At 50.6% G+C, this 12,687-nt stretch overlaps 1 protein-coding gene across 4 annotated transcripts in view, besides 1 other annotated feature; it reads right to left on the bottom strand.

Annotated features, from left to right (window-relative positions):
* The window catches only part of MAVS (mitochondrial antiviral signaling protein), a 29,285-nt gene continuing 18,808 nt past the window's right edge, over nt 2,211–12,687 (bottom strand). For all 4 annotated transcript variants that reach the window (NR_037921.2, NM_001385663.1, NM_020746.5 and 1 more), the window contains one exon: nt 2,211–12,646. Coding sequence is in view for 3 of the 4 variants with exons in the window: in NM_001385663.1 (NP_001372592.1) it covers nt 12,182–12,646 (465 nt within the window). In the remaining variant the exon portion in view is untranslated. The remainder of the gene's footprint in view (nt 12,647–12,687) is intronic.
* Nucleotides 11,816–12,317: an enhancer, noted in NCBI's record as "H3K4me1 hESC enhancer chr20:3846659-3847160 (GRCh37/hg19 assembly coordinates)". NCBI's record gives its function as "activates a minimal SCP1, AML or CMV promoter by ChIP-STARR-seq in naive H9 embryonic stem cells {active_cell/tissue: H9 hESC(naive)}" and the evidence as "EXISTENCE:reporter gene assay evidence [ECO:0000049][PMID:30033119]".

The following is a 12,687-nucleotide window of genomic DNA, read 5'->3' as shown; positions in this document are numbered from 1 at the left end:
TTTTTTTTGAGACGGTCTCACTCTGTTGCCCAGGCTGGAGTGCAGTGGTGCGATCTCGGCTCACTGCAACCTCCGCCTTCTGGGTTCAAGCGATTCTCCTGCCTCAGCCTCCTGAGTAACTGGGACTACAGGCAAGTGCCACCACGCCCAGCTAATTTTTTCTATTTTAGCAGAGAGGAGGTTTCACCATGTTGCCCAGGGTGGTCTCGAACTCCTGAGCTCATAGAATCCACCCACTTTGGCTTCTCAAAGTGCTGGGATTACAGGCGTGCGCCACCATGCCTGGTGTTTTTTTTTTTTTTTTTTTTTTTTTTGAGACGGAGTCTCACACTGTTGCCGGGGCTGGTGTGCACTGGCGTGATCTCGGCTCGCCACAACCTCCACCTCCCGGGTTCAAGCGATTCTCCTTCCTCAGCCCCCTGAGTAGCTGGGACTACAGGCGCGTGCCACCACGTCTAGCTTATTTTTGTTTTGTTTTGTTTTGTTTTTTTGAGGCAGAGTCTCTGTCGCCCAGGCTGGAGTGCAGTGACGCTATGTCGGCTCACTGCAAGCTCCGCCTCCCAGGTTCACGCCATTCTCCTGCCTCAGCCTCCCGAGTAGCTGGGACTACAGGCTACCTGCCACTATGCCTGGCTAATTTTTTTTTTTTTTTTTTTTTTTTTTTTAGTAGAGTCGGGGTTTCACCGTGTTAGCCAGGATGGTCTCAATCTCCTGACCTGGTGATCCGCCCACCTCAGCCTCCTAAAGTGCTGGGATTACAGGCATGAGCCACCGCACCCGGACTGTATTTTTTTTTTTAGTAGAGACGGGGTTTCACTATGTTGGCCAGGCTGGTCTCAAACTCCTGACCTCGTGATCCACCTGCCTTGGCCTCCCAAAGCACTGGGATTACAGGCGTGAGCCACCGCGCCTGGCCAACTCATGGATTTTAAAAGCCTATTTGATGAGTTTCAGTCCACTGGAGTCAGGTCTTTTTTTTTTTTTTTTTGGAAGTGCTGTGATCGTGACTCACTGCAACCTCTGCCTCCCAGGTTCAAGCGATTCTCCTGCCTCAGCCTCCCGAGTAGCTGGGACTACAGGCGCGTACCACCATGGCCAGCTAATTTTTTTGTATTTTTAGTAGAGACGGGGTTTCCCCATGTTGGCCAGGATGGTGTCGATCTCCTGACATAATCCACCTGCCCCGGCCTCCCAAAGTGCTGGGATTACAGGCATGAGCCACCACCCAGCCCAAAGATTCTATATTATATATACAGTTTTCCACTTTTTTTTTCCTCTTAGCAAAACATCATGGAGTTCACTCCATAGCAGTATAGAGATACTCATTTCTATTCACAGCTGCATAGCACTCCAATGTAGATATACCTTGGTTTATTGCCAATGTTCTGTAGATGGACATTGTCTGAGTTATTTCCAGTCTTTTGCTATTTACACAGTGGGCTATAATGACTAGCCTTGGACATATATCTTTATTTTTGCCAATGTTATCTTTGGCTTAGACTACTAGAAATGGAATTGCTGGGTCAAAAAACACATGCATATGTCATTTTGTAGGACAGAATCAAATTCCCCTCCTGAAGAGGCAGCTGCTATAATGGTGCTTCCAGTGGTTCCTACTTCTGGGTAAATTGCCCCTTGACTGCAATTTACAGAAGTGATGGGAGTGGATGCAGAGGCTCCTGCCTGTAATCCTAGCACTTTGGGAGGCTGAGCCAGGAGGATCACTTGAGCCCAGCAGTCTGAGACTAACATAGGCAACACAGTGAGACCGCATCTCTACTAAAAATCATGAAAGTTAGCCAGGCATGGTAGCGTGTGCCTCTGGTCCCAGCAACTCAGGAGGCTGAGGTGGGAGGATTGCTTGAGCCCAGGAGTTTGAGGCTGCAGTGAGACATTCTACTCCACTCTACTCCAACCTGGGCGATAGAGCATGCCCTTGTCTTAAAAAAAAAAAAAAAAAAAAAAAACTGCTGGGATGTCACTTTCAAGATTAAGTACCAAAGGACTGTGACTTCTGTTTTGCTCTCATACATTCTCTGTCTGAGAGCTGGGAGCTTGTCTTTAAGTAGAAACCCACCCATCCCCAGGGAGAAGGCAGGAGGGAAAAGGAGGAGAGGTCACAGACAAGCCCCCTGACTCTGTTGATCTTCACTGCAGTAGCTTCTCATTACAAGCAGGCATCTGGCCATTGTAGACCATTATAACTGTAGTTCTAGAAGTAATAATAGCAGATTTATTGTACAGAAGTGTCCACGGGCTCACAATTCTAAGGACATCATCATGACAGCAAGTAGGAAAAAAAATTAAAGTAATTCTTTCACCAATTACCAGTTTATCTCTTCTCCAATTCCTTTGGATACGCCTCCTGCAAGAAGCCGATTTCCAGCTGTATGTGATAATGAAAGGGTTTTTCTTTCTTATGTTAAATACAAGCGAAGTGATTAACTGGAAGATAGCGTCTGATTGCGAGGAAATCAGTGATTCAGATGGTGTGGGAATGGCACCTGGGGATGGGGGAGGCAGGACGGAGATGGAGGAAGCTGGTGCAGCCTAGCCTGCCTTGTGCCAAGGACACCCAAGGGCAGAGGGACTGAGCTCTGGGGGAGGACAGATTTGACATAACTGGTCCAGCCTCACAGTTTACAGGTCCTGGAGGGTGAGGAAAGTGGGAGCTGGCTGCGGATGCAGGACAAGAACCCAGGGCTTCCCTTCATTTTGCCTGCCCTGCCACTTCCTCCCGCCACTTCCACCCTTCCTACCCCTCCACCTCCCTTGTGCCTTTCACTGCCTTTTACAGCATTTACATTACACTTCAGTAAAAAGTTGTGGTTTTGGCTGGTTTTTTTTTTTTTTAAATAAAAACAGCACTGAAGAAGTAGAAGGAAGATATTCAGGGTTTTTATTTTTATTTTTTGAGTCTGGGTCTCGCTCTGTCACCCAGGCTGGAGTACAGTGGTGAGATCATAGCTTACTGTAGCCTCGACCTCCCGGGCTCAAAGATCCTCACACCTCAGCCTTCCAAGTAGTTGGGACTACAGGCATATATCATCATGCCTGGCTAAATTAACTATTTTATTTTAAGAGATGTGGTCTAGCTATGTTACCCAGGCTGGTCTCGAACTCCTGGCTTCTAGCAATCCTCCCACCTCAGTCTCCTGAATCACTGGGATTACAGGCTGGGGCCATCATGCCCAGCTCTAGGTTTTTAAAATGTAGGCAAGGAGGTCAGCATTTACACAAAAGCAGGGTTTGATCTTAGGAAGCTTAATAAAGAGAGGGGTCTAATCAAGGTTTCCTGTAGGATCTGGGCTTTAAGTTAGGCCTTAAAGAACGAAGAATGTTTGTGGGTGTAGTAAGCAATGACTTGGAGCAGAGCCCTCTAGCCATTGGGCTCACCCTCACAGGCAGGCGCCACTGACCCTAGGGGGGTGTAGGCAGCTGGAGGAAGTACTGTGTGTCCCCCATTCCAGCGATGGTGGCCCCTCTCAGAGTCAATACCCTTCCTTCCAAGAGACTGAACATACAACTGGACAATGGCCAGGCCACATATGACAATAGACTCTGGCCAGAAACCCATGACCAGCCTGGGAAGCCAAGGAAGCCAAACCACAGCCTCAGCAGCAATCGGACCCAGAACAGTCTGAACTTAGTGGCTGCCAGCTTCTTCCCAATCCCCAGCCACCACACCCCCTCTTCCAACTCCAGACCAACCAGAGAAAGCCAAATATACCCCCCCAACCAACCAAAGATGCCCCTCCAGTTAGTCCGCTCTGTCCCCATGCCAACAATCTCCAATCACAGCACACCCAGAGCCTTCCCTTTTTTTCCACTATAACATTTCACAGTCCCTGCCTGCCTTTGACCCCTGCCAAATACAAGCAATCATGGCTGACTCCTTTGCAAACTTTGACCAAATGGCCTCTCTGCTCTTGTTTAGGTGGTTTTTATTTCCACATCTCCAACAGGGAGTCTGGAAACAAACTGACAATACTCGTGAAATCAACACCCAGATGAGGTAGACCAGCACTCCAGGATGCCCCTCCCCAGTATCCCTCCCCTGTTAACTGTTCCCCTGGCTTCTAACACCATGGATCAGTTTTGCTTATTTCTGTACTTTTTGTAGGAAGAGAATCATACAATGAATTCTCTCTTGATGATGAGGACTCTGACCTCTTTTGCTTGACCTCATGTCTGTGAAATTTATCCATGTTGCTGTGCATAGCGATATTTTCATTCATATTCGTTGCTGTGCAGTAGTATTCGACCCTGTGACTTCACTGTAGCTTCAACTGTGGATGGACATTTGGGTTGGTGGATGGACATTTGGGTTGTTTCAGGTTTGGGGCTACAGTCAGCGTGTGGTTAGAAACATTCTTGCCAATGTCTCGGTGGACATAGCTTTCTGTGGTGTACATACCCAGGAGTGGAACTGCTGGATCAGTTTATACGTATGTTCGGCTTTTGGTAGATACTGCCAGTTTTCCAACAGGGTCACACCAGCTTGGTCCATTCAGGTTACAATGAAACACCTTAGCCTGGGTAATTTGTAAACAACAAAAAATTATTTCTCACAGTTCTAGAGGCTGGGAAGTCCAAGATCAAGGTGCCAGCAGATCCAGTGTCCAGGGCGGGCTCTCTGCTTCAGAGATACGGTGCCTTCTCACTGCATCCACACATGGTAGAAGGGACAGAAGGGCTCCCTCAAGCCTGTTTTATAAGGTGCTAACCCCATTCATGATCTCCACCCTCATGACCTAACCACCTCCCACAGGCCCCACATCTTTATTATTTTTTTGAGATGGAGTCTCGCTCTGTCACCCAGGCTGGAGTGCAGTGGCACGATCTCGGCTCACTGAAATCTCCACCTACTGGGTTCAAGCTATTCTCCTGTCTCAGCCTCCCGAGTGGCTGAAATTACAGATGTACGCCATCACACCTGGCTAATTTTTGTATTTTTAGTACAGATGGGGTTTCACCATGTTGGCCAGGCTGATCTCAGACTCCTGGCTTCAAGTGATCTGCCCCCTGCCAGCATCCCAAAGTGCTGGGATTACAGTCATGAGCCACCATACCCAGCCCCAAAGGCCCCACCTCTTAATGCCATTGCTTTGGGGGTTAGGATTCAACATATGAATTCAAAGGGTACACCTACATTCACAACACAGCACTGACTTAGATTCCCTGCAAAACCCATGAGAGTTTCATTTCCTCCATATTTTCATCAGCATTTCATCTTGTCAGATTTACTCTCTATAGGTTCTAAGTATTATTCCCCCTCTGCTGATTTACTTATTATAAACAGTACATAACTGATCAGATAAACACTTGTCCCTTTGCCACCCCTAATGCCTGCCCCCACTTCATATTCCAGGAACACTCCATTAAACCACCCCCTACTGTACTGGTGGGTGGTGGGAGGGGGCTCATCGGGTGGGGTCTTTGCCGTATTATTCTGTGTCACTGAGGCCTATCACAGTGCTCTGCACATGTAGGTGCAAATATCTGTTGTATGATTACATAAAAGAATGATGTGAAAGCCTATTTGTCTGTACCACAATCATGAACGTCCCCAACCACTTGAAGGCACTCATAGTGTCTTAATCATCTTAGGCCTTCGATCTGGCATAGGTAACTCCTTTAATAAACAATGTCTGCTAAACCAAATGGCTTCCTGAGGCCTGGCATTTTAGGCTGTGTCCCCTGCCCCACCTCGCCCAGCCTGGGGCATTGAGCCTGGCTGGGCACACACGTGATAGTTGTAATCATATTGTCATAACATCCCTGAGACTACATTAATTACATATTGAGTGTTATAGTACTATTATAGCAGGTGGCAGATGTTGGCACACTGGGCAGAGATGTGTTGGTGTGAAAAACCTCTATGTACTTTAAAGACAGGGTCTCCCTCTGTTGCCTAGGCTGAAGTGCAGTGGTGCCATCATAGCTCACTGTAACTTCAAACTCCTGTGCTCAAGTGATCCTCCCACCTCAGCCTCCTGAGTAGCTGGAACTTGAGGCACATACCACCACACCCAGCTAATTTTTAAATTTTTTGTAGAGATAGGGTCTAGCTGTTACCTACACTGGTTTTGAACTCCTGGCCTCAAGCAGTCCTTCTGCCTTGGTCTCCCAAAGTGCTGGGATTATAGGTATGATCCACCACCTCCAGCCAAAATCTCACTTTAAGTGGGGTCCCTAACTCCAGACATGTGATAAGCTGTGGTTCACAGGCATAAAGAACATCCAGCCTGGGGCCCCGGGGTCAGAGTTTTCCCTCGCATTGTCCCCTGGGTCCTTCATCCCTCCTAATCTTGCAAACCAGCTGTCAATTGGGTTGAGATGGTATCTCTTTCATAGGGTCATTATGAGGATTAAATGACTTAATATATGTAAAGCACTTAGCTTAATGCCTGGCAGACAGTAAGGTATGGAGTAAGTTGTAACCCTTATTATTATTGCTGTTGCTGTTAGCAACAGAGTGAGGAATGCTAGGAGTGACCATGCCCAGCACCGAATGAGGCCTTCATAGCCTTGGGCTAAAAGAAAAAGAGCAGAAAGGTGAACACAGGGGAAGGCCTCAATTTCAACACAGATGCATTAGACCAAGGACTCTGAACTCACTTTCCCTGGAGGTGGGGGTGCTATCAGCTGCTTAATGGAGCATCATGGAAAATGTGGGACTCAAGGCCTGAAGGACTCCATTCCTAAGAGATGGGAGCAGGAGACATGCTACGGAGTTTGAATCTTGCCTAGCACAGGGATTTCTGCCTGCTGGAAGGGCTCTGTCAGGGCCTAGTGGAAGCCCCTGCCTCAGTGGGGCAAACTGCCACTGGACACACCCATCATTCATCATCACCTCTCTGGGACAGTAGTAGCAGCCAGGCACCTCCAAAGAGCTTGACAACAGAGGAACCCGCTTCGGCCCCTCCTCTGAAGACAGGATCCTGCGCTACTCCAACTCTGAACTGGTTCAAGGTGAGAGACGTCATCCACAGAGGCCACAAAACCAAGAGGTGGATGCCTCATTGTTACTTCATGCTGTCTGGGAGCAAAGAGAGGGCCTTAGGCACAAAATCCTCCAGACCCGCATCTGCCCCTTGGCTTTCTCAACCCTTCACTCTCCAACTTCTATAAATAACCTGTACAGTGGCCAGGCACCGTGGTTCACACCTGTAATCCCAGCATTTTGGGAGGCCAAGGCGGGCGGATCACTTGAGGTCAGGAGTTCGAGACCAGCCTGGCCAACATGGTGAAACCCCATCTCTAACAAAAATACGAAAATTAGCCAGGTGTGGTGGCGGGCATCTGTAATCCCAGCTACTTGAGAGGCTGAAGCAGGAGAATCACTTGAACCTGGGAGGCGGAGGTTGCAGTGAGCCGAAGTTGCACCACTGCACTCCAGCCTGGGCAACAGAGCAACACTCTGTCTCAAAAGAAAAGAACCTCTGCAGAATGAGGGGAAGCAGGGAAGCAGGCAGGGGTGAACAAGATGGCCATGAATTGATAATTACTGAAGTTGGGTGATGGGCTCATGGGGATTTGTTATTCTACTCTCTCTACTTTTTTGTGTTTGAAAGTTCATAATAAATAATGTTGCTCAAAGGAAGCTATTAATAGTTTGAGGCCAGGCAGGGTAAAGAGCATCTCCTAGATTTTTTTTTTTTTTTTTTTTTTTTTTTTTTTTTTTTTTTTTTAGAGATAGGGTCTTGCTTTGTTGCCCAGGCTTGTCTCAAACTCCTGGCTTCAAGGGATCCTCCCACCTCGGCTTCCCAAAATGCTGGGATTACAGGCACAAGCCACCACATCCAACCTCCCTCATATTTGACTAAGAAGTCTCATAAATCTGAGAACACCTAGCAAGGAATTAAGGCGAGGGTGTGGCACTGTTCTGGCTTCAGTCTATCACCAGGCAGAGTCCACGCATTCTTCCCAGGGAGAAAGAAGCAGTGACAGCTCTTGGGCTTTGAGGGAAATGATTCAGCGGGAGAAAGAAGGTGGAGAGGGGCTAATATGCAGATACCATTGCTGCAGGTGGCTCTGCCCCTAAGCACTGAGGAGGGCACTGGTCCCTCTGGCCCCACCCAGCCTTCACCCCAAGGTGAAGTACGCTTTCTCAGGTCCCCAAGGATGGGTGGCCAGGTCCCCCACTGGGAGTGGAGGTCTCACTCCCTTCCTTGGGTTCTGACCTCCACATTATCTGGCTGTGAGGGTGACCTGCCTGGCTTTCCCCACCAAGTGCAGCTCCCCGCAGCTGAAAGCCACACTCTCAACACAGGACTCCTGAGATCTGACACTGGCCAATTCACACCCTGCTTGAAGCTGGCATTTGAGAGGCCTTCAGGTTGACAACAGCAGCAACAAGTTTGCTGTTCAAAGTAGGCCAAGTCACGGCTTTGAGCGGCATCATTTGAAAAGTGCTGGGATCAGCCAGGCGCAGTGGCTCACTCCTGTATCCCAGCACTTTGGGAAGCCAACGCAGGTGGAGCACTTGAGGTCAGGAGTTCAAGAACAGCCTGGCCAACATGGAGAAACCCCGTCTCTACTAAAAATACGAAAATTAGTCGGGTGTGGTGGCAGGCCTCTGTAATCCCAGCTACTCGGGAGGCTGAGGCAGGAGAATTGCTTGAACCCGGGAGGCGGAGGTTGCAGTGAGCTGAGATCATGCCACTACACTCCAGCCTGGGCAACGGAGTAAGACTGTCTCAAAAAAAGAAAAAGGAAAAAAAAAAGTGGTGGGGTTTGGGTGCAGTGTCTCACATCTGTAATCCCAGCACTTTGGGAGGCTAAGGCAAGATCTCATGAGGCCAACCTGGGCAACATAACAGCATGACCTCATCTCTATAAAAAATTTAATTTGGCTGGGCGCGGTGGCTCACGCCTGTAATCCCAGCACTTTGGGAGGCCGAGGCGGGCGGATCACAAGGTCAGGAGATCGAGACCATCCTGGCTAACACAGTGAAACCCCGTCTCTACTAAAAGTGCAAAAAAATTAGCCAGGCGTGGTGGCAGGCGCCTGTAGTCCCAGCTACTCTGGAGGCTGAGGCGGGAGAATGGCCTGAACCCAGGAGGTGGAGGTCGCAGTGAGCTGAGATCGCGCCACTGCACTCCAGCCTGGGTGACAGAGCAAGACTCCATCTCAAAAAAAAAAAAGAAAAAAAAATTTAATTAGCCAGGCATGGTGACAGGTACCTGAAGTCCTAGTTACTCAGAAGGCTGAGGCAGGAGGATCGCTTAAGCCCGGGAGTTTAAGGATACAGTGAGTTATGATTGCACCACTTCGCTCCAGGCTGGGTGATTCTCTAAAAAAAAGAAAAAAGAAAAAGATGGGAGGATGGGAGGCGGGGCTAGGGGACTGGGAAGGTCCCTCAACCCTTTCTACATGCCTTACCCAGGGTATCTCCCATCATGGCTGGTTACTGTGCTAAAATTATAATTTTTTTTCTTTGAGACAGAGTATCACTCGGTCACCCAGGCTGGAGTGCAGTGGTGCGATCTCAGCTCACTACAACCTCCGCCTCCTGGCGGGCTCAAGTGACTTATCTTCCCACCTCAGCCTCCCATGTAGCTGGGACTATAGATGGGCGCCGCCATGCCCAGTTACTTTTTGTATTTTTTACCTAGGCTGGTAGTGTGCTAACATTCTACCACTTGGGCAACAGTCTTCGGGGCTACATACTGCCTTTTTTTTTTTTTTTGAAACAGAATACCACTCTGTCGCCCAGGCTGGAGCGCAGTGGCACAATCTCGGCTCACTGCAACCTCCGCATCCTGGGTTCATGGAATTCTCGTGCCTCAGCCTCCTGAATAGCTGGGATTACAGACGTCTGCCACTACACCTGGCTAATTTTCTTATTTTTGTAGAGACGGGGTTTCACCCTGTTGGCCAGGCTGGTCTTGAACTCCAGACCTCAGGCGATCTGCCCACCTTGGCCTCCCAAAGTGCTGGGATTACAGGCGTGAGCCACTGCGCTCGGCCCATGTTGCCTTTTTGAGATACTTTTTTCAAAGCTACCCTGGAACGGTAATACAATAAAACTAGTACCTGTGCATAAATTGTTAACTGACCTGCCCAGCATGGGTACCTAACTGGGGTTTAGGGTAGGGGGACAGAGGGCTTTTTAAGATTGGTGGTGGGGGATGGGGATTAATACAGACAGCTCGGGTAGGGTCCACTCCTGGTTCCAGGGTGCAGGTTGCTGGACTTGGAGCATGGGATGAAGAGATGTTCAGAGATAGAGATCATTAGGTTGCTGAACTCCCCTAGGGCAGTGGAGTGAAAAAGCTGTAGCAGCCAAGGCAGGGTGTAGATCCCTGGAGGCTGACGGCTTGGGGTGGGGCCACAGTGAGCCCAGCCCCTGATGGCTCTAGTTCTTGTCCCTTGCAGAGCTCAGAAATGGAGGTGGCTCCTGTGCCTTGTCCAGCAATGGTTCCCTGAAAAGAACCCATAAGGATACCCCCAATCCACCCCAATGTGTTTCTGGTGTTATTGTAGATAATCTCCCCAACAGTGGGTGAGCTTGGGGTGAGGGAACCTGGCTGCTGGGAGTGGAAACGCCCTATATCCTCCATCCTGTACAGCTGCCCAGTGGACATACCTCTCTCCCCAGCAATTTCTCAAGGCACAAGATAAAGTAAGGGGCAAATACAAAGATAAAGCTGTGAGGCAGGAGGGTCTGAGTCTGCCTCTAAAGGAGTAGCCAAGACTCCTGTTTCTCTGCATTTTTCTTTTTCTTGAGACAGGGTCTCGCTCTCTCACCCAGGTTGGAGTGCAGTGGCACGATCCTAGCTCACTGCAGCTTCAAGCTTCTGGGCTCAAGTGATCCTCCCACCTCAGCCTCCCAAGTAGCTAAGACGACAGGTGCACCACCACGCCTGGCTAATTTTTTAAACTTTTTTGTAGAGATGGGGTCCCTGTTGCCCAGCATGCCTGGACCCTCAACACTTAATAGTGATAATAACATATATCCAACCCTTGGTAAATGCCAGGACTCATCCTAAGACCTACATCGATAAACTCCTTTAATCTTCACAACACTGGGAAATATATATATATACTTATCCTCCTTTTACAGGTGAGAAAACTAAGGGACAGACAGATAAATCCCTTGCCCAAGGTCACAGAGCTGGTGAGAGGCAGGTTGGGACGCAGGCCTAGGCTGCCTGTGCTGCAGAGCTGCACCCTTGACCACTGTGCACTCTGCCTCTCATGCCCTCAGCTCTACCAGGTTGGGCAGGAGAGAGATGGGAGAAGCAGTGGCCACTTGCTCTGGGCCAGGCACTTGGCAAACACCTGTAGGTTCAATCTCAGAAGAACCCAGTGAAGAATGAGCCAGATACTCACTGTCCACGTGGAGAAGCAAGACCAGAAGTCTGACATCTGCCAAAGCCACACAGCCCCGGAAGTGAGGGAGCTGAAATCCAAACCTCTGCCTGAGCTCTGCCCACCAGGTGTCTCCTCCCCAGCCCATGTAGGGAGCTGAAGAGAATGGAGACCAGAGGGGAGGGAAAGAGGAGGCTGGAGAGGAGCTCCACAGGTCTTCCTCAGGCCTGACAGCTGCCCCTGGCTTCCCTGAGGTCCACAGGAACCTCCAGACCTTCCCAGGATTGCCCAGCAGGGGAGGGGGCCCAGTGGGGCAGGAACTCAAGGCAGTTGGGCTCCTGGAGAGCAGCCACCCTGCCGCTCCTGCCTGCCTCAATGCAACGGTCTCAGGCTGGGCTGCCAGGATGGGAGGCAGGTCTTGTGGAGTCGCCCACACACCACATACCTGCCCTGAGGCCTTCAGGGACCAATGCAACAGGAGAGGCATTCCCAAGCACCACATGTTCCAGTGGTCCCTCCTGCTCCACCTGGGCCAACAGGGCTGAGGCCTGGAGGAGGAAGCTCCTCTGGAGGACATGGATGATAACCTGGATTGCCAGTGGGGAAGGTCTGGAGCACTGGGGGCAGCCCAGGACCCAGAAAGCCAAGGACGGGGACCCACACAAGGCACCGTGGGGACAGAGATGCTGCTCTCAGGACTTGGTTCAGCCAAGGCATGTCCTGCTGCCAGGCCTGCAGTCCCTTAACTCCCCTCTGACCCAGCCTCCACAATCCCCAAGAAAGGGACAAGGGGCTTCGGAGAGGGGCCAGGTGTACTGCAGGAACGGAACAGATGGGTGGTGGGAAGAGCCCAGGGCTTCACTAGTGCAGACGCCGCCGGTACAGCACCACCAGGAGTGTGACTACCAGCACCCCTGTCACAGCCACCTGGAGCCACAGAGCCCCAGGTGAGGGCCTGTGGCATGGCACCTCCCTCTCCTGGAACTTCCGGTCGGCTTGTGGCCTGGGGCCGCCATCCGGGTCCGCAGGTGGCCCAGGGTTGCCCTCCAGGAGCTGGATGCTGGGGTTCTCAGCCACGTGGATCCCAAAGGTGCCCTCGGACTTATACTCATTCTCCTCTGGGCCATGGCAGGGCCCCATGCCCAAGGAGGTGCTGGCACTGATGGCAAGATCCTCGAAGCAGCCCGAGAACGGGCTGTCTACCTGGGATGCCAGCACGCCAGGCTTACTCAGCTCCGACCCAAGGCCCCTATTCTCAGAGCTGCTGTCTAGCCAGGCTGAGCTGCCTCCAGTGGCGCCGGCGGGTGTTGGAGCTGCTGGGGTCTCCTGGGAAAGAAAGGAGAGCACTGGAAGGGACTGGGGTTGGC

This window comes from Homo sapiens, chromosome 20 (genome assembly GCF_000001405.40).
Source record: "Homo sapiens chromosome 20, GRCh38.p14 Primary Assembly".
Classification (NCBI taxonomy): Eukaryota; Metazoa; Chordata; class Mammalia; order Primates; family Hominidae; genus Homo; species Homo sapiens.
The sequence above is the reverse complement of the archived record's forward strand: the minus strand, read 5'-3'. Positions and strand labels throughout refer to the sequence as shown.